This window comes from Homo sapiens, chromosome 13 (genome assembly GCF_000001405.40).
Source record: "Homo sapiens chromosome 13, GRCh38.p14 Primary Assembly".
Classification (NCBI taxonomy): domain Eukaryota; kingdom Metazoa; phylum Chordata; class Mammalia; order Primates; family Hominidae; genus Homo; species Homo sapiens.
Genome location: NC_000013.11, coordinates 31,301,697 through 31,325,018, shown reverse-complemented (window position 1 = coordinate 31,325,018; position 23,322 = coordinate 31,301,697). Strand labels below are relative to the sequence as shown.

At 42.5% G+C, this 23,322-nt stretch overlaps 1 protein-coding gene and 1 pseudogene across 5 annotated transcripts in view, besides 1 other annotated feature; both read right to left on the bottom strand.

Annotated features, from left to right (window-relative positions):
* Positions 1-23,322, bottom strand: part of B3GLCT (beta 3-glucosyltransferase) — a 132,302-nt gene that overhangs the window by 7,258 nt on the left and 101,722 nt on the right. For 4 of the 5 annotated variants that reach the window (NM_194318.4, XM_006719768.4, XM_047430110.1 and 1 more), the window contains 2 exons: positions 7,334-7,453; positions 1,124-1,268 (listed from right to left, as the gene is read on the bottom strand). In NM_194318.4, the coding sequence (NP_919299.3) occupies positions 1,124-1,268; positions 7,334-7,453 (265 nt within the window). The remainder of the gene's footprint in view (positions 1-1,123; positions 1,269-7,333; positions 7,454-23,322) is intronic. The other variant, XM_011534936.2, reaches the window with a different exon arrangement.
* ANKRD26P4 (ankyrin repeat domain 26 pseudogene 4) lies at positions 12,091-13,734 on the bottom strand (annotated as a pseudogene).
* Positions 22,434-23,046: an enhancer, noted in NCBI's record as "H3K27ac-H3K4me1 hESC enhancer chr13:31876110-31876722 (GRCh37/hg19 assembly coordinates)". NCBI's record gives its function as "activates a minimal SCP1, AML or CMV promoter by ChIP-STARR-seq in primed H9 embryonic stem cells {active_cell/tissue: H9 hESC(primed)}" and the evidence as "EXISTENCE:reporter gene assay evidence [ECO:0000049][PMID:30033119]".

The following is a 23,322-nucleotide window of genomic DNA, read 5'->3' as shown; positions in this document are numbered from 1 at the left end:
AAATAGAGCATGGGCCAGGTGCAGTGGCTCACATCTGTAATCCTGGCACTTTGGGAAGTCGAGGTGGGAGGATCGCTTGAGTCCAGCAGTTTGAAACCAGTCTGGGCAACATAGTAAGACCCCCATCTCTATAAAAAACTTTAAAAATTAGCCAGGCATGGCGGTGTGCGCCTGTAGTCCCAGATACTTGGGAGACTAAGGCAAGAGGATCATTTGAACCCACGAGATCAAGTCTGCAGTGAGCCACGTTGCAGTGAGCAAGACCCTATCTCAAAATAAATAAATAAATAAAAATAAATAAATAAGGCATAAAAAAAGTATTTTCAATATAAGAGAAGGCATCTAAAATACTTATGCATACACACTTCAAGTTTCAAAAACTTTAAATTTCTTGAGGAGGATATTAGATGGGTATGGATCTATGGTTATTTTTAGTTTGTGAACAACTGCTATTATTCTTAAAAGAAAATTCACTGACTTGGTTCTTAAAAGATACTAAACATAATGCAGGAGGATTTCCTTCTCCAACCCCCAAACTGCAATATGGGGAGGCTAAAAGCACTACCCGTCCCTGGTAAACATAAGCTCATCTCTTCTTTTCCATAACCCTCAGAATATATGCTTATTGAGATACCCATTTGCAACTTAATAGATTTTAGCCATTCATTTTAATGGCAAGTGAAGGAGAAAAAGCTCAGTGAAAAGACAGATAGCGTAAAAACTGAGGATGGTGTAGAATTACATAGACTCAGTGGCCAGTAGGACAATATTAGGTCAGTCCTATATATTTCTAGGCAGTATCCAATAATTTTTAAATGCTACCAATCCTTTTAACTAAAAAGATAAACCAAAAAACAGCTTTTCCCTGGTCCTACATGGCGAGGATCCTGGTCAAACGCCACTTGGTTTTCGAGACGTTTTTGCCTCCCATCTTCATGACGTACATGAGACAGTGTGTACATCAAACAGGGTAACAGTCCTGGTTAAGGACATTCCCCTGGAGCCTGTCAACACAGTTCTTAGTCTGTTTCCCGAATATGTGAAGAGAAAGAAGTCAAATCCTTAAGTGAGAAGAATCTGTCCCTCACCTGCCATGAGGGAAGAATAAAAACCATTTCCTCACCTGATGGAAGAGAGGGCTGTGTGTCACAGGGATTCCCAAGCCACTAAAGCACATTCCCAGGACCATATCATCGGGAGCATCATTGCTGTAGCATCGACATTTACTGGCGAGAAGTCTCCTGACGGCTTCTCTGCTGAAGACCATTCTAGTGGGAGCCAGAGCAGAGAAAGGGGTTAGAGAAGCTCCACAGACACCGCTGCTGCACAAATGGGCCCCGGGAAACAGGACTTTACTCCTGCAGACTGAGAGGCAATAGTAGCTTTCTCTAGTTACTGAGCTCTAGGTAAAACCCTACCTGTTCTCTTTTAGTCTTCTGGCCCTTTCCAACACTTTTGTACCAAGTTCCCAAAATAATTTCTCTTCGTTTTAAAATACAGATTGGTTTCTTGTTTTCATTCTGATCCTAAGGTAGAAATGAATCTTTTCATACCATAAAAAGCTCAATAACTGAAAGGGCCGAAGGAAACAATATGGTTCATAAGTTCAGTCTCAATCATCAAAGACTTTCTTTAAGGCAAAACTATTTAAAATTCATCCATATAGTCCCACTGCCACATATAGGGCCTTGCCCACAGCACTCAATGGAAGTTTGATGCATCAAACAAGTGAGAACAAAGTCGCCTTTACAAAGACCTTCTTCCTGGGGGAGGAAACATTCTATGAATCAGTCTAGGAGGAAGGAAAAAAGGACAAAGAGCTTGAATCCCTGAATCAAAAATACTGATTCCACATGCTGGGCTCAATTCAGCAGTTTTACCTAATGCTAGTGGCCAACCCCCTCCTCCGTCCCCTGCAACAGTGCAGAACTCCCTCCCTGCCCTTGACTAGACAAGAGAATTTCTTTACTTAAGATGTTGTAACAAAATAGGAAGGTATAAAAAGAAAGTTCCTGTCAACTACAGAGAAAGGAAAACTGCAAGTCTGAAAACCCACCATAAATTGCCTTTCTCTTAGAAAGCCTGCTGTCCACAGTGAAACCTCCCTGGCCACATTTTTTGTGGCTGAGTGGAACTCCTACACCCAATCGGCCACGTTGGGCTCAAGCTACTGACTCCGGGAAAAGAGCACACATGAGAAGATGTGTTGACAGTAAATAGTAAAAATGCTTTTTTTCTTTTGTCAGCATCTAGTAAAATGAGAAAAAATGAGAAAGACTTTCATTTTTTTGATCCGCTCTCTGAAAAACTAACTTTATAGGAAGATGAAACGTGAGCATGAAATTTTAATATGTAATTATTTTATACTTTTGCCTACTCACACAGTCTTACATTAATTATTTGCATAAACTAAGTGAATATGAGCCGTTAATAACACTTGTTTATTAGCATGCTGATGAGTTCTTTCCAAATAAGGTTGCTCCCCAAAATGGAAAACTACCAGTCATATCATCGTGGGAAAGAACACTTGTCTGCTCTGGCCACCAACTATTAAACATTAAAAAGATGTTGAAAGGCTACAGGATTATTTTATTTCCTTCAATATACAATATACAAATGTTTAAAATAAGAAAAACTGAAATGGGAGTCTGGGACTTGCCCAAGAACACAGTGCAGATCAAGACGATGTAGGAAGGGAACATGCATGAGAAACATGCCTGCCCTTCCTGGCCTTCAGCCAATAAATAGGTCATGGCAGTCTCTCTGGGTAACACTGCCTGCGGCCTCTTCCGAGGACATTGCCCAACATCTTATTCTGGTGTAGTCATTTGCTCCCAAGGCTGCCAAAAAGGCTGATGATAGATAGCCTAAGCACAGCTTCCTACCTAAATGCACATATGTAAATAAGTATTTTCAAAAAGAAATGGTCAAAACATCACATGTTCTCACCTATAAGTAGGAGCTAAGTTATGAGGATGCAAAGGCATAAGAATGATACAATGAACTTTGGGAACTCGGAAGAGGGGTGGGGATGAGGGATAAAAGACTACACACTGGACACAGCGTACACTACTTGGGTGACAGGTGCACCAAAATATCAGAAATCACCACTAAAGAACTCATTCATATAACCAAACACCTCCTGCCCCTCAAAAGCCTGTTGAAATAATAAAAAAAAAATGGTCATTCAATTTATTTTCTCCAAGTACCAAAACTTTCATGGAGTAAGCAACAAAGTGAAAAACAGACACTTGGATTCAAATAGTACAAAGGTCTCATGCTCCAAACAACGCAAAATACCTACACAGAAACCACAGGAACCTACATGTCTGACTCGGCTCTGTCAAAACATCCTTACCTAAGATGGATGGTTTAAGGTAGTGGTTTTCAAAAACTTACTGGACTGTGACCCGCCATCAGAAAACAAGAAATTAATTTCACATTGCAACCATTTATATGTTTCATGTGTGAGTGTGCATGGGTATGTATAAAGCTGAAACAAAAATGTCACAAACAATACTTACCCTTATGACATGGAATGCACTCTGATATTTTCCATTTTATTCTATTCCACTCAATAGTTCATTAATTTAAAATGCTAGTCATGGTCCATGAATTGGTTTTACAAGCCACTGATTCTGACTTGCTGTTAAAAGGCATATTGGTTCTCAAGCTAGAGCATCAGAAAATTCTGCTGTAATACTAGAGAAACTATTCAACATTATGTCTTACAGCTTTTATCAAAGGTTGATGTAAGAGACAATCTCATGACGAATGTTCCTGCATCTTTGTAAAAGCGCTATTAAAGACAGAACATCACATTGGTCAATGTTAGCTATATAAAGATCAGTGCCTTGTGTTCATGGATTTGTTTATTCATTTATTCACTGTACCTTGAAAAACATGAGTCCCTATGCTAAGAAGCGAGGAAATAACGAGAAATGAAACACACAGGTGTTGCCTTCAAATAATGCATAATTTAAGTGGAAAATAGAAAAGTAAATAGGCAATTAAATGATAATGGTTTGCATAATATGCTATGAAAGTACATTAGAAATGCATTAAACCCAGATTTGAGAGGCTAGATTGGGCTAAAGGCATTCAAGAGTAAATGGTGATAGCTATGGTGAGTCCAAAAGAACAAGGAGGAACTAGACAGGCAGAAAGTTGGGGAAACAATGGTATGCAGAGACCAGCGAATGTCGTATCTTGGGAGGAGAGGAAAAAAATAGTGCTTCAGAGAAACTGAAACAAGTTCAGCAAGAGTTCTTTAAGATAAGGGTGTAGATGGATGAGGCTAGAAAGGTAAAACAGCATCTGCCAAGATCATGAGAGGTCTTATAAGCCTTGGAGTGCAGACTTGATCCTAAAGGCAATGGGAGAAGTTCTACTGCCAGTTAGGATATCAGAAGATGCAAAAGACTTTCATGCCATGGTAACACTCAAATAAAAATATTCAAATAACAGGAAAATCATATGTAATTATGAAATTGAAGAGAGGTGAATGACACGAAGCCTAGATGAATGAATTTCTAGAGAGAAAAATCCTTGCTAGGGGAGTAGCAAGACAGCCATGGCAGCTTTCAGCGGCAAACTGGGCCTGGTAAGTGGGTAGAAGACAAAACTTTTCTTGGGCTTTCGGGCCCAAAGCAGTGGCCTCAGCAACACCCAGGGAGGCTGGTAATCAGGCAAACTAGAGAAGATTAAATTGAGGACTCATCCCAGATCAACTTGACTCTTGTTAAAATCTAAATGATCATCTCTTTGTCTTAGATGTCAAAAGTAGAAAAAGGTTCACACTCTTGGAGAAAAGACAATGAGAAGCCACTGAGGGCCTCTGAGCAGAGGGGAGACAGGACCAGATCTGCTTTTAGAAAGGTCCCTTTGACTACAGTGTGGACAACAGCATGGAGTGGAGTTTAAGACCAAAAAGTAGGGGGAACAGGAGGCTGTGGCAGGAGCTCATATAGGATATGACAGTGACCTGGCTGAGATTACTGGAGGTAGAGAGAAGTATTGATGGAAGAGAGATTTAGGAAATAAAATGGACAGGACTGGGTGATTCAGTTGATTGCAGGGAGTGGGGAAAGAAGGAAAGAAAGGGTGAGAGCTGACTCACAGACTCCTGGGATAAGAACTCATATATGCCAATGTTTTCCCTGAGAGGGGGACATTGGAAGAACAAATCAGGGGTTACGGTCAGAAATGACAAGGTGTTGAGTGTGATGTGTCTGTCAATCAGTCAAGTGGAGATGCCCTTTGAATCTATGAATCCAGAGGCCAGCAGAGTTCTAGGCTGGAGAAAGAGTTCTGGGTACATTCAGCATCAAGCCATAAGATCACCCAGGGACAATACAGGGTGAGAAGGAGGACTAGAAAAGATGCCTGAGTAACACAAGACATTGAAGGGATAGACAGAAACAACTGAGAAGGAATGACCAGAAAGAAGGATGAACAAGGATAGGATGGCGCTCTGGAAAGCAAGAGAAAGGGGTGTTTCAGGTCAACAGTCACTGGTGTTAAAGGCTGTCAGTGAAACAGGATAAAAATTGGAAATTATTAATTTGATTTAGCGACAGCAAGGTTGCTGGAAACCTTGGTGAGGTAGTTTAGGAGGCTGGGAGTTTATGACTCTTAGAAGGCTGAGCATGGAGCTGAGAAAATGGAGATAGAGTAGTGAACTCAAGATGTTCCGCAGGGTAGGAAGGAGAAGGCATGGTGGTGGTGAGAAGTTTTAAGACAGAAAAACTAGAGGTGGTGGGAAGTACCCAGGGGCAGGGTAGACGCTGAGCACAGAAGTTAAAGGTGCCACCTTGGTGGTCTAGCACAGCCTGCCAGGGGCAAGGGAAGGGGGAGCAGTGACAATTATGCAATGTATTTGCAAATCTGGCACTGGCCTGTGAGGTCCTGTGGGGAAGGGGCTGTGCAGCTTTCATCTGTGCATTCCCTGTGCCTGGCCCACACAAGGCCAGTTGAACGAATAAACAACCAACTGGGATGATGAAAGGCAATTCTAGATAGGTAAGGTAAAGTGAGGTTTCAGAAGGCCTTGAGTGCCAGTCTTGGAAACAACAGCTAAATCCAATATGCAATGAAGACAACAAAATGGTTTTCTTGCAGAAATCATATAACAAGTCACTTCTGTGTTAAAAATATTATATGAACGCCATCATGCTATAAAGTATATAAACCCATATACAAATAACAGGGCCACTTTCAAAGTGGAACATCCTGGCTCAATGGGTGCCATGTTCTGATCCTTAATTGGCCCTAACTCTTCACCCAGAAAGCCCGATGCATTACAGTAAGGCCGCAAATAGCTTGAACCTTTTTTGATAAGGAGGTCAACACTCCTTGGGCTTACTCTAGTGTCTTTTCAAAGGCCTCCCTGGACTCCCCCTCCTGTTGTTAATGACCTCAGGTAGATGCAAGCCATCGTCTAACAAAGATCAGCACACATGCTCAGGTTTGGTTATCACTACAAAAGAGCCACCACCATAACCGTGTTATCTTCACCACTGTATTGGCTAAACAAAATCAGGATGCCTGTAGTACGACTGTTGAGATCCTGCAGGTTCCTGTAGGAATTGTTCCAATCTAGGGAATTGCAAAGTAGGAATTAAAGGTCCTAGCCCTCCAGAAGTGTATAATCCATTAGATTATAAACTAGAATGCTGCCTGGAACACAGAAGACATGCAACAAATATCTACTGAGTGAATTTAAATGACTACCGTTGATAAGATTTTGCCTACACGCACCAATAGTAAGACTACAGAAGTAATAGGGAAAACTGCTTAATTGATTTACCCATATAAATCAAGTTAAAATCTTTCTTCGTATGAGATTAGGCAGATGCTTCATTTAAAACACTGATTTTTAACTGTTATTTAAAACCTATAAATCCTACATAAATATTACTTAATTGCCTAAGTAAGCTTCTATACTACACTTTCTCCAAAGGCGATTTATTAAGCATTACATAATTTAATAGTCTAATGGCTTATTCTCTGAGATTAAAATCTATAACCAATTTTTTTTTTCCATTTAAATAGACAATCAAAACTAGTTGGCTGTCTAGAAGCAACCATTGTTAGGGACATTCTAGCAAGTATGACATACTTTTTTATATCATTTCTTCAAGGGCTAAAATATTCTTTACTGAGTGTTCTTTTAATATTTAGCAAATATAATGTTCACTTTCCTATTATAGTAACAACCACCATTCACAGAGTACTCACGTACAGTATAGATCCCAGTGCCAGAGACCTACCTCTCGTGTGGAAAGGGAAGTTTATGTTTAAAGTAGTTGAAGAAAGCTGTGATCATAGTTACCCTCCTCCTCCCGTGATGTAGCTGTAGCCACCAGTGCCCAGGCCGTAGCCGTAGCGCTCTCCCAGAAACACAGGCTCGCCGGAGTCATAACAGCTAAGCAAGTGCTGGAGCCTGGAGATACTGAGATGCCAAAGGGAACACAAATCATGATTATTTGATTCAAACGTGGTTATGGAACAGTTTATGGTTCTTACATCCCACTCTGTATACTGTGTAATACTAAACTGAAATAGTTAAGAGAAGAAATTTGAGTGACTTATAAAATAAATAAAATTTTTAAACAACAACAAAAAAAGAAAAGAATGCATGAACACTGTACATTACTGGAAACAGAAGAGAAACTGAGACACAAGGGGCTTGTTCCTCAGTTTTTACAAGCCCCTGCCATAATACGGCTGCCTGATTTGTGTGGTGAGAGTGGCAGGTTACTGAAGTGAAGTTGGCCAGTGTGCTCTAGATCTTATTTCTACCAGTCCTGTTTTCAAGTGAGTGTGAACTAATCCTCACATCTTTTCAGATGAACTTGGTATTTAACAAAAAAATTCCTGATGGCCTAAAAAGGAGCCACTGAGATGCAAATGCATGTTGGGCCCCTGGCTGGCAGGTGGGGAAGAGAATTTGGGCAGTGAGGCTATCCTAGAAATCCTCAGATAATGAGGCACAACCATGCTCGTTTCCCTCAATAAGGCCACCCAAGTCTGAGAACTTTTTGTGTCTAATTGCTTATACTTTTGAATACCTTTTGGCCCCTATCTGCCTTTAACACACATTACCAACAACAGCTTACAAAGGGCAGTGTATTAGTCTGGGTTCTCTAAAGTAAGACTATCCGTGAGTTGGTCATAAAAATGCCTGCAACTGCAGCTGCTGTTTGGATGAAAACAATGAATTTATAGGAAAATAAAATCGAAAAATAACTTTTTTAAGTAGACACAAAGGGTAGTACTAAGAAAGCCTATTTTTTCTATGTTTTAAGAACCTACACCAATTAGAAACGTCCCTTCCACCTATAAGCCTGCAAAATCAAAAGCAAGTTAGTTACTTGTAAGATACAATGGGGATACAGGGGGTAAATATTCCTGTTCCAAATGTGAGAAAATGGCCAAAACAAAGGGGCCACAGGCCCCATGCAAGTGCAAAACCTGGCCAGGCAATCATTAAATATTAAACCTCCAAATGCGGTGAGTCAAGATCGTGCCATTGCACTCCAGCCTGGGTGACAAGAGCGAAACTCCGTCTCAAAAAAAAAAAATTTATATATATATATATATATATATAAAACCTCCAAAATCTCCTTGATTCCATGTCTCACATCCAGGACATGCTGATGCAAGAGGTGGGCTCCCTAGGCCTTGGGCCCCACCCCTGTGGCTCTGCAGGGGACAGCCCCTGTGGCTGCTTTCACAGGCTGGTATTAAGTGCTTGCGGCTTTTCCAAGGTGCACAGAGGAAGCCGTCACTGGATTTACCATTCTGGGGTCTGGAAGATGGTGGCCCTCTTCTGAGTGCTCCACTAGGCAGTGTCCCAGTGGGGACTCTGTGTGGGGGCTCCAACCCCACATTTCCCTTCTGCACTGCCATAGCAGAAGTTCTTCATGAGGGCCCCAGCCCTGCAGCAGACTTCTGCCTGGACATCCAGGTATTTCCGTACATTCTCTGAAATCTAGGCAGAGGTTCCCAAACCTCAACTCTTGTCTTCTGTGTACCTGCAGGCCCAACACTACATGGAAGCTGCTAAAGCTTGGGGTTTGCACCCTCTGAAGCAAAAGCCAAGCTGTACCTTGGCCCCTTTTAGCCATGGCTGGAGCATCTGGGACACAGGGCACCAAGTCCTGAGGCTGCATAGAGCAGTGGGGCCCTGGGCCAGGCCCACGAAACCACTTTTACTCCTAGGCCTCTGGGCCTGTGATGAAAGGGGCAGCTGTGAAGATCTCTGACATGCCCTGGAGACATTTTCCCTATTGTCTTGGTATGAACATTCAGCTCCTTGTTACTTACACAAATTTCTGCAGCTGGCTTGAATTTCTCCCCAGAAAATGGGGTTTTCTTTTTCACCTCACAGTCAGGCTGCAAATTTTCCAAACCTTTATGCTCTGCTTCCCTTTTAATAAGTTCCAATTTCAAACCATCTCTGTGAATGAATATGACTGAATGCTTTCAGAATAAGCCAGGTCACCTCATGAATGCTTTGCTCCTTAGAAATTTCTTCCACCAGATACCCTAAATCACCTCTCTCAAGTTCAAGGCTCCACAGATCTCTAGGGCAGGGGCAAAATTCCACCAGTCTCTTTGCTAAAACGCAGCAAGAGTGACCTTTGCTCCAGTTCCCAATAAGTTCCTCATCTCCATCTGAAACCATCTCAGCCTGGACTTCATTGGTCAAAACTATTCTACAAGTTTCTAGGCAGTTCCAAACTTTCATTCATCTTCCTGTCTTCTTCTGAGCTCTCCAAACTGTTCCAACCTCTGCCTGTTACCCAGTTCCAAAGTCACTTCCACATATTTGAGTATCTTTTCAGCAACACCCCACTCCTGGTACCAATGTAATGCATTAGTCCATTTTTACGCTGCTGATAAAGGCATACTCAAGACTGGGAAGCAAACGAGGTTTAATTTAACTTACAGTTCCACCTTGTGGCTGGGGAGGTCTCACAATTATGGCAGAGGGCAAAAGGCATTTCTTACATGGTGGCAGCAAAAGACAATGAGAAAGAAGCAAAAGTGGAAACCCCTGATAAACCCATCAGATCTCATGAGTCTTATTCACTATCATGAGAACAGCACGGGAAAGACCAGCCCTCAGGATTCAATTACCTCCCACTGGGTCCCTCCCACAATATGTGGGAATTCTGGCAGATACAATTCGAGTTGAGATTTAGGTGCGGACACAGCCAAACCATATCATTCCACCCCTGCCCCCTCTCAAATATCATGTCCTCACATTTCAAAACCAATCATGCTTTCCCAACAGTCCCCAAAAGTCTTAACTCATTTCCACATTAGTTCAAAAGTCCATAGTCCAGTGTCTCATCTGAGACAAGACAAATCCCTTCCACCTATGAGCCTGTAAAATCAAAAGCAAGTTAGTTCTTCCTAGATACAATGGGGGTATAGGCATTGGGTAAATACAGCCATTCTGAATAGGAGAAATTGGCCAAAATGAAGAGGCCACAGGCCCCATTCAAGTCCAAAATCCAGTGGTACAGTCAAATCTTAAAGTTCCAAAAGGATCTCCTTTGACTCCATGTCTCACATCCAGGTAACACTGATGCAAGAGGTGGGTTCCCATGGTCTTTGGCAGCCCTTCTCCTGTGGCTTTGCAGAGTACAGCCTCCCTCCTGGCTGCTTTCACAGGCTGACATTGAGTGTCTGCGGCTCTTCCAGATGCATGGTGCAAGCTGTCAGTAGATCTACCATTCTGTGGTCTGGAGGACAGTGGCCCTCTTTTCACAGCTCCACTAGGTGGTGCCCCAGTAGGGACTCTGTGTGGGGGCTCTGACCTCATATTTCCCTTCCCCACTAGCATAGGTTCTCCATGAGGGCCGCTATCCTGCAGCAAACTTGCCTGGGCATCCAGGCATTTCCATACATCTTCTGAAATCTAGGCAGAGGTTCTCAAACCTTAATTCTTAACTTCTGTGTACCCGCAGGCTCAACACCACATGGAAGCTGCCAAGGCTTGGGGCTTCCACTCTCTGAAGTCACAGCCCAAGCTGTACTTTGGCCTCTTTTAGACACGGCTGGAGTGGCTGGGATGCACAGCACCAAGTCCCCAGACTGCACACAGCATGGGGACCCTGAGTCCAGCCCACGAAACAAACCACTTTTTCCTCCTGGGCCTCTGGGCCTGTGATGCGGAGGTAGGGGAGCAGGGGAAGGAGCTGCTGCGAAGGTCTCTGACATGACCTGGAGACATTTCCCCCATCTTGGGAATTAACATTCGGCTACTTGCTACTTACACAAATTTCTGCAGCCGGCTTGACTTTCTCCCCAGAAAATGGGTTTTTCTTTCCTATCGCGTAGTCAGGGTACACATTTTCTAAACTTTTATGCTCTGCTTCCCTTGTAAAACTGAATGCCTTTAACAGGATCCAAGTCAGCTCTTGAATGCTTTTCTGCTTAGAAATTTCTTCCACCACATACCCTAAATCATCTCTCTCGAGTTGAAAGTTTCACAAATCTCTAGGGCAGGGGCAAAATGCCACAAGTCTCTTTGCTAAAACACAGCAAGAATCACCTTTACTCCAGTTCCCAACAAGTTTCTCATTTCCATCTGACATCACCTCAACCTGTAGTTTATTGTCCATGACTATTAACATTTTGGGCAAAGCCATTCAACAAGTCTCTAGGCTAAAGTTCCAAACTTTCCCACATTTTCCTCTCTTCTTCTGAGCCCTGTCTCTAAATTATTCACCAAGATATCTTTTCTCACAGAGCAATAGTAACATTAACAGTTCTGGTCTCATTTTTTGGTGGGAGGGATGGGTAAGAACAAAACAAAGTACATGAAAAGATCACCTTTCCCATCCCCACTCATGAGTCTTATAAAAATACCCTAGCTAATAAAGCTAAAGCTGAAAGTGAAGAAAACGAATTTAATATATGAAAAGAAACTCTGACCAGTGACAAGTGTTGGTGCTCAAAGAGTTCACAAGACTTCCAATCAGGTTTATATCTGTCTGAAGGTCAAGGCCTCTGACAATGTTGATGGTTTCTGAGTGACTAGAAAATGTTCTTTGAACACTATCCTGTTTTCGGCACACAAAGTGACTCTAGGACTGCCTCGTAATAAGAGTGGTGTAAAAATCTGATCTGCTGTTCTCTACAAGAAGTTTGCTATTAACCTCTGCTATTTTATCATTGGTTTTGTTTAGTTTAGTTGCCAATGATTTTCTAACTTTTAATTCTTGTAGATAGAGCTGCTTATATTTTTCCAACTCAGTTTTATTAGTCTTATGGAAAGTTTTCATTTTTGAGAGTTCAGATTTCAGATCTTTCTCAGCTCCCTGCGACTTCTTATTGAAGCAACTTTATTCTCTCTTAACTAAGTTCTCTCAAGATGCTGCTTGTGTCTGCAAAGATAGATTTTCTTTTAACTTTTCTACTATATCTTGTTTACTCTTTCTTTGGTCTCTTTCTTGTACTAAATTTGTTTCCACATTCTTGTTGTACTAAATTTGTTTCCATATAAGTTTTGGGGCTTTCTATTTTTACTCTATAGTCAAGATAATCCCTCTTTTACAGACTTCTGCTTTCCAATGTATTTACTTACTTTATCTTATTCATTCTAATACATTTGCTTGATTTACTTCATTTGACACTGTGTTTGGCTTACACATAGAGTATCCTTGACATAAGTAACTTTATCTCAGAAAAAGACTCCATCTTACATTTCATTAGGCACTTTGCCAACAGAGGCCAGATGTTTTACTTGATCAATAAAGACTCTATTCAATCAAATGAGGACATAACCAAGCACATTCCTCCATTTTCAGTCCTCACCATAGGACTCTGTGGCCATAGAAAGAGCAAGACTTCAGCAGCTCAAACGGCCATCTTAACTGACAGTCTTGCTGTCACTTGTGATAAGCACCCGGCATTTGCCACTGAAGGCTCTGCCCACATCAAAGTCTTTTCCTTGCAAGATTGAGGGACTGCCTGCCCCAGACCAGGATATTCTTTTTGTCAATGTCTCTCTCCCTGGAGTGGTTCATTAACCCTTTTTCCTATCCCCTTTTCCTTGATGTTAAATGTTACTTTGTTATGGGAAGTTTAATCTATAAAATTATATATTAAGTATACTATTATGGTTTGCAATATTGACTGACTTGTGGAGTGACTTGAACCTGTGTGCCTATGGCTCTACTGACTGAAAAGGAAGTACTGAGAATCGATTCCTTGGGAACTCCATGTAGCTCATGGCTTTTGTGGCTGAAATAGTATCAGTAAAAGTCTGACATTGTGGAAAGACATAAAGACATGTGGACCTGGTTATCCCCGACCTGGTGCCATGCATGAGGGCTTAGGTTTCTTTGTACAGATTCTAAAACCAAGGTCTTTTCTCTGAGAGCATCTCTTGTATGATGGAGATCAATTTCTAGGCTACTGAATTTACTTTCAGCTTTACAAAGTGGTTGAGAAAGAATATGCTTATCTTTTAGGTTAGTTGCATCAAAATTAACTGTGTCCTACAAACAAAACTACTCATCTCTTGCTCTCAGGAAAGCAAGTTCTAGGTCTCTTATTGATGTGTGACAGATCAAAATCATGGAGAGCAGCAGCCAGTCTAGCATGGTACAATTCAACGCTGTATCCAGGATTTCCTTGCTGTGTTTACATTCTCCAGTTTAGAATTGAGCATTATATTCTTGCTGTCAGACTACTGAGCTGTCCACTGTCCTGGTGTGATATTATGATTATATATTGATATGGTTTGGCTGTGTAAAAATGGACTAATACATATATATTGGTTTACATCCAGAGTTCCTGGCTCTTAACTCCCATAGCCCTTGTTAGTCTTTTATTATAATGCTGGGTTGCTTTATTAGGCCTCAGGAGCAGATGTCAGGAAACAATCTCTCTCTCTGACCTTCTCCTGTTGACACAAGATTCTTTCAGTGCTGCTTCACCAGCCAGAAATCTCCACGGTTGGCCAGCTGCACCTCTGGCCGGGGCCTCACTCAGCTCTGGGCTTGCCACTAGACTTGCTCTGCCCATTAAGCCTGGCAGGCAATGCTTAGCTCATGTTATTGGCCCAGGTTCCACACCTGCTGTGGCTCTGTGCTCAGCCCATAGCTGGGCTGGGCATGCTGTGACTGGCTTCTGCCTTGGGTGCCAGCATCTGGACAAGGGGTGGGGGATGCAGCAGAGCCTGAAAACTTGGAGATGCCAGCAACTGCGGAGCCCCAAGGGGTGTTACCCTTTTGCTCAGGGAGTCCTAAGCTCTGAGCCCCCAGGAAGCATCACAGCTTGTTCCTGTTATAGCTCATTCATTCCTACCATCTGCATGCTTTCGTGAATGGGGGCATGTCCCAGCTCATTTGGTCCTGCCACCCCACTCCAGCCCGTGGCTCCTGGGCTGGCCCAGCCCCACCGCTGCCAGTTCCCATAATGTGGGGCAGCTGCCCAGCACCAGCAAAGGGTGGGAGGATTACAGTGTTACAGCTCTGGCTCAGGGAATCCTGAGGTCTAGGCCCCTAGAAGGGTTGCTGCTCTAGTGAACAGGAGTGTGTCACCACCCTCAGCTCAGTGAGCCAGCCAGGAAAGTGTTATAACCCTTTTCACTCCTACTGTTCAGCGGGTCCCAGGTTCTTGTCCCACATCCAAGAAGCATGAGGTTACACAGACACTGGAGAGTGAGCCAGGTGGAGGAGGGTTTTATTCAATGCAAGAACAGCTCTCAACACAAGACGGGACCCAAAGTGGGTAGCCCTCTGTATGAGAGGGTGCCCTAACTAAGGCAGGTAGTCCCAATATGTGGCTGAGTCTGGGGTTTTTATGGGCTCAGGATCGGGGAGTGTGTGCTGACTGGTCCATAGGCGGGCTTGGGAAAAGCACCATTTGATTAGCTAAAAGGCATCGAGGAAGTTCTCACTCCTGGCTGTGGACCCCACCCTGAGCTGATAGCCTGGCTTGAAGGTTGGGTTTCACTGGGGACCTGGCCGTTTCTGCCTAGGAATTTGTGTGCCTCTTGCCTCTATCAGTGTCCTTGTACCTGCCCAAGGTAGGAATTTAATCTGATTGTGGGTCAAAAGACTCTAATTCCAGAAAATGTCCTGCCCCATAACCTAGAGGAAGAAATACTACACAGAGAGGCCAAGAAAAGTCTGAATAAGGAGGTCTTTCTGGGTTTAGAACATGGGCTTCTTGTTCAATCACATTTTTAAATGGTTGTCAATCATGCCTATATAATGAAGCCTCCATAAAACCCCAAAAGGACAGGGTTTGAACAGTTCCTGGATAGCTAAACATGTGCAGATTCCTGGGGGTTGAGCACCCAAGTGGGGCAAGGAAGCTCCACACTCCTTCCCCCATACCTTGCCCTACACATCTCTTCATCTGCATCCTTGATAATATCCTTTAAAATAAACCAGTAAACCTAAGTGTTTCCCTGAGTTCTGTGAGCTGCTCCAGCAAATTAAAGGAACCCAAAGAAGGGGCTGTGGGAACCCCAACTTAAAGTCAGTCAGTCAGAAGATCTGGAGGTCTGGACTTATGACTGGTGTCTGGGGAAGCAGTCTTGGGGACTGAGCCGTCAACCTGTGGGATCTAAGGCTATCTCCAGGCAGATGGTGTCAGAACTGAATTGGAGGACACCCAGCAGGAAGAGGACTGCTTGTTTGCTGGGGAGAAGAAATTCCCACATATTTCAGGGTCACAGAAGTCTTCCTCATTGATTGTTGTGGTATAAGAACACAGAAAAAAATGTTCTGAGAGTTTTTCAGGAACAATTGATGTTAGTGAAGTGGGATTAGCTAGAATGGCTCAGGTTCAGAGAAACATTTGGTTTGAGAAGAGAAAGGATAAAAGCCTGGGGGATGAGAAACCCTTGATTCCTGGGTGGCCAAACAATCACCTGTGATATGAAGTCACAGTGCTCTGCTGAGTTACTAAAGGTAAAAGTTACCAATGGAATTTAGAGATGGAGAATTGGTTCACCGGATGCATAAGAAAATGCAAACTAATCAGAAAAAAGCAAACTATTCAATCCCTTGATTATTGTTATCTATACTAGCTAAAATAAAATTAAAAGAAAGTGCTGGGTTAGACCGTGACACTACATACACCAAACTTAGATTTCAGTGAGTCTAAGCTTCAGCCACTAGCCTCAGAACCATGGCACAAGGGAAAAATTATGCAGGAACAACAGAAAGTACCTCTGAGACCTGTGGTGACCTGTGGGAGAAGGGAAGAACCAAATAATTATTGAAACTAGAGGGTATGGTGTAAAGGAACTATTCCATTTTGTAGATCTGTATCATCCACCTCTTGAGGAACCTTTATAAAAATGGATTATGAGAATAACTAATTTAGGGGCAGTATCTTTGGTTTTGAATGCTGCAGAATGGAAGAGCATGTTTGGTTTGATGCAGGACCCACAACTCAATGCTGAACAATTGCACATGGGTGTACATAATCCAGACACACAGGAGGTTATTCCTGAGGGAACAGCAAGCCTGATGGACTGAATAAAAGCCACTGTAAGATCTGTTTACCCTGAGAAGGGGGACTGCCAGACTCCACCTATAAATGCCAAGTAGAACACCCCAAATTATGCAGCTGATACATTTCATCTGTAAGCCATGTGGGACTAGCTTTTTTTTTTGTTTTTTTTTTTTTAATTTTTTTTTTTTTATTATACTCTAAGTTTTAGGGTACATGTGCACATTGTGCAGGTTAGTTACATATGTATACATGTGCCATGCTGGTGCGCTGCACCCACTAATGTGTCATCTAGCATTAGGTATATCTCCCAATGCTATCCCTCCCCCCTCCCCCGACCCCACCACAGTCACCAGAGTGTGATATTCCCCTTCCTGTGTCCATGTGATCTCATTGTTCAATTCCCACCTATGAGTGAGAATATGCGGTGTTTGGTTTTTTGTTCTTGCGATAGTTTACTGAGAATGATGGTTTCCAATTTCATCCATGTCCCTACAAAGGACATGAACTCATCATTTTTTATGGCTGCATAGTATTCCATGGTGTATATGTGCCACATTTTCTTAATCCAGTCTATCATTGTTGGACATTTGGGTTGGTTCCAAGTCTTTGCTATTGTGAATAGTGCCGCAATAAACATACGTGTGCATGTGTCTTCATAGCAGCATGATTTATAGTCCTTTGGGTATATACCCAGTAATGGGATGGCTGGGTCAAATGGTATTTCTAGTTCTAGATCCCTGAGGAATCGCCACACTGACTTCCACAATGGTTGAACTAGTTTACAGTCCCACCAACAGTGTAAAAGTGTTCCTATTTCTCCACATCCTCTCCAGCACCTGTTGTTTCCTGACTTTTTAATGATTGCCATTCTAACTGGTGTGAGATGATATCTCATAGTGGTTTTGATTTGCATTTCTCTGATGGCCAGTGATGATGAGCATTTCTTCATGTGTTTTTTGGCTGCATAAATGTCTTCTTTTGAGAAGTGTCTGTTCATGTCCTTCGCCCACTTTTTGATGGGGTTGTTTGTTTTTTTCTTGTAAATTTGTTTGAGTTCATTGTAGATTCTGGATATTAGCCCTTTGTCAGATGAGTAGGTTGCGAAAATTTTCTCCCATGTTGTAGGTTGCCTGTTCACTCTGATGGTAGTTTCTTTTGCTGTGCAGAAGCTCTTGAGTTTAATTAGATCCCATTTGTCAATTTTGGCTTTTGTTGCCATTGCTTTTGGTGTTTTGGACATGAAGTCCTTGCCCACGCCTATGTCCTGAATGGTAATGCCTAGGTTTTCTTCTAGGGTTTTTATGGTTTTAGGTCTAACGTTTAAATCTTTAATCCATCTTGAATTGATTTTTGTATAAGGTGTAAGGAAGGGATCCAGTTTCAGCTTTCTACATATGGCTAGCCAGTTTTCCCAGCACCATTTGTTAAATAGGGAATCCTTTCCCCATTGCTTGTTTTTCTCAGGTTTGTCAAAGATCAGATAGTTGTAGATATGCGGCATTATTTCTGAGGGCTCTGTTCTGTTCCATTGATCTATATCTCTGTTTTGGTACCAGTACCATGCTGTTTTGGTTACTGTAGCCTTGTAGTATAGTTTGAAGTCAGGTAGTGTGATGCCTCCAGCTTTGTTCTTTTGGCTTAGGATTGACTTGGCGATGCGGGCCCTTTTTTGGTTCCATATGAACTTTAAAGTAGTTTTTTCCAATTCTGTGAAGAAAGTCATTGGTAGCTTGATGGGGATGGCATTGAATCTGTAAATTACCTTGGGCAGTATGGCCATTTTCACGATATTGATTCTTCCTACCCATGAGCATGGAATGTTCTTCCATTTGTTTATGTCCTCTTTTATTTCCTTGAGCAGTGGTTTGTAGTTCTCCTTGAAGAGGTCCTTCACATCCCTTGTAAGTTGGATTCCTAGGTATTTTATTCTCTTTGAAGTAATTGTGAATGGGAGTTCACTCATGATTTGGCTCTCTGTTTGTCTGTTGTTGGTGTATAAGAATGCTTGTGATTTTTGTACATTGATTTTGTATCCTGAGACTTCGCTGAAGTTGCTTATCAGCTTAAGGAGATTTTGGGCTGAGACGATGGGGTTTTCTAGATAAACAATCATGTCGTCTGCAAACAGGGACAATTTGACTTCCTCTTTTCCTAATTGAATACCCTTTATTTCCTTCTCCTGCCTGATTGCCCTGGCCAGAACTTCCAACAGTATGTTGAATAGGAGCGGTGAGAGAGGGCATCCCTGTCTTGTGCCAGTTTTCAAAGGGAATGCTTCCAGTTTTTGCCCATTCAGTATGATATTGGCTGTGGGTTTGTCATAGATAGCTCTTATTATTTTGAAATACGTCCCATCAATACCTAATTTATTGAGAGTTTTTAGCATGAAGGGTTGTTGAATTTTGTCAAAGGCTTTTTCTGCATCTATTGAGATAATCATGTGGTTTTTGTCTTTGGCTCTGTTTATATGCTGGATTACATTTATTGATTTGCGTATATTGAACCAGCCTTGCATCCCAGGGATGAAGCCCACTTGATCATGGTGGATAAGCTTTTTGATGTGCTGCTGGATTCGGTTTGCCAGTATTTTATTGAGGATTTTTGCATCAATGTTCATCAAGGATATTGGTCTAAAATTCTCTTTTTTGGTTGTGTCTCTGCCCGGCTTTGGTATCAGAATGATGCTGGCCTCATAAAATGAGTTAGGGAGGATTCCCTCTTTTTCTATTGATTGGAATAGTTTCAGAAGGAATGGTACCAGTTCCTCCTTGTACCTCTGGTAGAATTCGGCTGTGAATCCATCTGGTCCTGGACTCTTTTTGGTTGGTAAACTATTGATTATTGCCACAATTTCAGAGCCTGTTATTGGTCTATTCAGAGATTCAACTTCTTCCTGGTTTAGTCTTGGGAGAGTGTATGTGTCGAGGAATGTATCCATTTCTTCTAGATTTTCTAGTTTATTTGCATAGAGGTGTTTGTAGTATTCTCTGATGGTAGTTTGTATTTCTGTGGGATCGGTGGTGATATCCCCTTTATCATTTTTTATTGTGTCTATTTGATTCTTCTCTCTTTTTTTCTTTATTAGTCTTGCTAGCGGTCTATCAATTTTGTTGATCCTTTCAAAAAACCAGCTCCTGGATTCATTGATTTTTTGAAGGGTTTTTTGTGTCTCTATTTCCTTCCATTCTGCTCTGATTTTAGTTATTTCTTGCCTTCTGCTAGCTTTTGAATGTGTTTGCTCTTGCTTTTCTAGTTCTTTTAATTGTGATGTTAGGGTGTCAATTTTGGATCTTTCCTGCTTTCTCTTGTAGGCATTTAGTGCTATAAATTTCCCTCTACACACTGCTTTGAATGCGTCCCAGAGATTCTGGTATGTGGTGTCTTTGTTCTCGTTGGTTTCAAAGAACATCTTTATTTCTGCCTTCATTTCGTTATGTACCCAGTAGTCATTCAGGAGCAGGTTGTTCAGTTTCCATGTAGTTGAGCAGCTTTGAGTGAGATTCTTAATCCTGAGTTCTAGTTTGATTGCACTGTGGTCTGAGAGATAGTTTGTTATAATTTCTGTTCTTTTACATTTGCTGAGGAGAGCTTTACTTCCAACTATGTGGTCAATTTTGGAATAGGTGTGGTGTGGTGCTGAAAAAAATGTATATTCTGTTGATTTGGGGTGGAGAGTTCTGTAGATGTCTATTAGGTCTGCTTGGTGCAGAGCTGAGTTCAATTCCTGGGTATCCTTGTTGACTTTCTGTCTCGTTGATCTGTCTAATGTTGACAGTGGGGTGTTAAAGTCTCCCATTATTAATGTGTGGGAGTCTAAGTCTCTTTGTAGGTCACTGAGGACTTGCTTTATGAATCTGGGTGCTCCTGTATTGGGTGCATAAATATTTAGGATAGTTAGCTCCTCTTGTTGAATTGATCCCTTTACCATTAGGTAATGGCCTTCTTTGTCTCTTTTGATCTTTGTTGGTTTAAAGTCTGTTTTATCAGAGACTAGGATTGCAACCCCTGCCTTTTTTTGTTTTCCATTGGCTTGGTAGATCTTCCTCCATCCTTTTATTTTGAGCCTATGTGTGTCTCTGCACGTGAGATAGGTTTCCTGAATACAGCACACTGATGGGTCTTGACTCTTTATCCAACTTGCCAGTCTGTGTCTTTTAATTGCAGAATTTAGTCAATTTATATTTAAAGTTAATATTGTTATGTGTGAATTTGATCCTGTCATTATGATGTTAGCTGGTGATTTTGCTCATTAGTTGATGCAGTTTCTTCCTAGTCTCGATGGTCTTTACATTTTGGCATGATTTTGCAGCGGCTGGTACCGGTTGTTCCTTTCCATGTTTAGCGCTTCCTTCAGGAGCTCTTTTAGGGCAGGCCTGGTGGCGACAAAATCTCTCAGCATTTGCTTGTCTATAAAGTATTTTATTTCTCCTTCACTTATGAAGCTTAGTTTGGCTGGATATGAAATTCTGGGTTGAAAATTCTTTTCTTTAAGAATGTTCAATATTGGCCCCCACTCTCTTCTGGCTTGTAGGGTTTCTGCCGAGAGATCCGCTGTTAGTCTGATGGGCTTTCCTTTGAGGGTAACCCGACCTTTCTCTCTGGCTGCCCTTAACATTTTTTCCTTCATTTCAACTTTGGTGAATCTGACAATTATGTGTCTTGGAGTTGCTCTTCTCGAGGAGTATCTTTGTGGCGTTCTCTGTATTTCCTGAATCTGAACGTTGGCCTGCCTTGCTAGATTGGGGAAGTTCTCCTGGATAATATCCTGCAGAGTGTTTTCCAACTTGGTTCCATTCTCCACATCACTTTCAGGTACACCAATCAGACGTAGATTTGGTCTTTTCACATAGTCCCATATTTCTTGGAGGCTTTGCTCATTTCTTTTTATTCTTTTTTCTCTAAACTTCCCTTCTCGCTTCATTTCATTCATTTCATCTTCCATTGCTGATACCCTTTCTTCCAGTTGATCGCATCGGCTCCTGAGGCTTCTGCATTCTTCACGTAGTTCTCGAGCCTTGGTTTTCAGCTCCATCAGCTCCTTTAAGCACTTCTCTGTATTGGTTATTCTAGTTATACATTCTTCTAAATTTTTTTCAAAGTTTTCAACTTCTTTGCCTTTGGTTTGAATGTCCTCCCGTAGCTCAGAGTAATTTGATCGTCTGAAGCCTTCTTCTCTCAGCTCGTCAAAATCATTCTCCATCCAGCTTTGTTCTGTTGCTGGTGAGGAACTGCGTTCCTTTGGAGGAGGAGAGGCACTCTGCGTTTTAGAGTTTCCAGTTTTTCTGTTCTGTTTTTTCCCCATCTTTGTGGTTTTATCTACTTTTGGTCTTTGATGATGGTGATGTACAGATGGGTTTTCGGTGTAGATGTCCTTTCTGGTTGTTAGTTTTCCTTCTAACAGACAGGACCCTCAGCTGCAGGTCTGTTGGAATACCCTGCCATGTGAGGTGTCAGTGTGCCCCTGCTGGGGGGTGCCTCCCAGTTAGGCTGCTCGGGGGTCAGGGGTCAGGGACCCACTTGAGGAGGCAGTCTGCCCGTTCTCAGATCTCCAGCTGAGTGCTGGGAGAACCACTGCTCTCTTCAAAGCTGTCAGACAGGGACACTTAAGTCTGCAGAGGTTACTGCTGTCTTTTTGTTTGTCTGTGCCCTGCCCCCAGAGGTGGAGCCTACAGAGGCAGGCAGGCCTCCTTGAGCTGTGGTGGGCTCCACCCAGTTCGAGCTTCCCGGCTGCTTTGTTTACCTAAGCAAGCCTGGGCAATGGCGGGCGCCCCTCCCCCAGCCCCGTTGCCGCCTTGCAGTTTGATCTCAGACTGCTGTGCTAGCAATCAGCGAGATTCCGTGGGCGTAGGACCCTCTGAGCCAGGTGTGGGATATCGTCTCGTGGTGCGCCGTTTCTTAAGCCGGTCTGAAAAGCGCAATATTCGGGTGGGAGTGACCCGATTTTCCAGGTGCGTCCGTCACCCCTTTCTTTGACTCGGAAAGGGAACTCCCTGACCCCTTGCGCTTCCCAGGTGAGGCAATGCCTCGCCCTGCTTCGGCTCGCGCACGGTGCGCACACACACTGGCCTGCGCCCACTGTCTGGCACTCCCTAGTGAGATGAACCCGGTACCTCAGATGGAAATGCAGAAATCACCCGTCTTCTGCGTCGCTCACGCTGGGAGCTGTAGACCGGAGCTGTTCCTATTCGGCCATCTTGGCTCCTCCCCGGGACTAGCTTTATGATAACTGGGATATTCACCCACTGAATATGACCGTTATCCAGGCCATGGTACATGTTGTTGTTAAAGGGGCCCATTTTGCATAGGCACCTCATATAAACTTACTGCTGCAAAACCAAGACAGTTCCAGAAGCCTTATCAAATTTGTGGTCTAAGCTTTACCTTGAGGTCTTACAGATGCTAATAAAGACATTAGGTTAATTAACAAGAAAATGATGAAGGGGAGAGGGGAGAGTCAAAGGACTCATCCTGGGAGGTGGAAATTTTTAAATGGTTTGTAAGAAATAAGATGAATACAGAAAACATTCATAGGAATGAAAGTAAGAGGAAAAAGAAAGGGGAGAGCCATGGGACTCACCCCAGGAGGGTGGACATATTTAGGTGGTTATTAAAAAATGGAATGAATAAAGTAGAAATTGATGGGGTTAAAACAAAAGTCTTAATACAACATTATTAAAGACTGAGTGGAGGAAAGGGACCCCTGGCTGATCTCTCAACATTTAAGGGCCCAAACCAGTTTGCTGCATTTCCCCCAGTTTGGAGAACTTTTAAAGACAAGAAGATAAAGATTAAAATGAGAAACCCCATCTATAATTACCTGTTAGA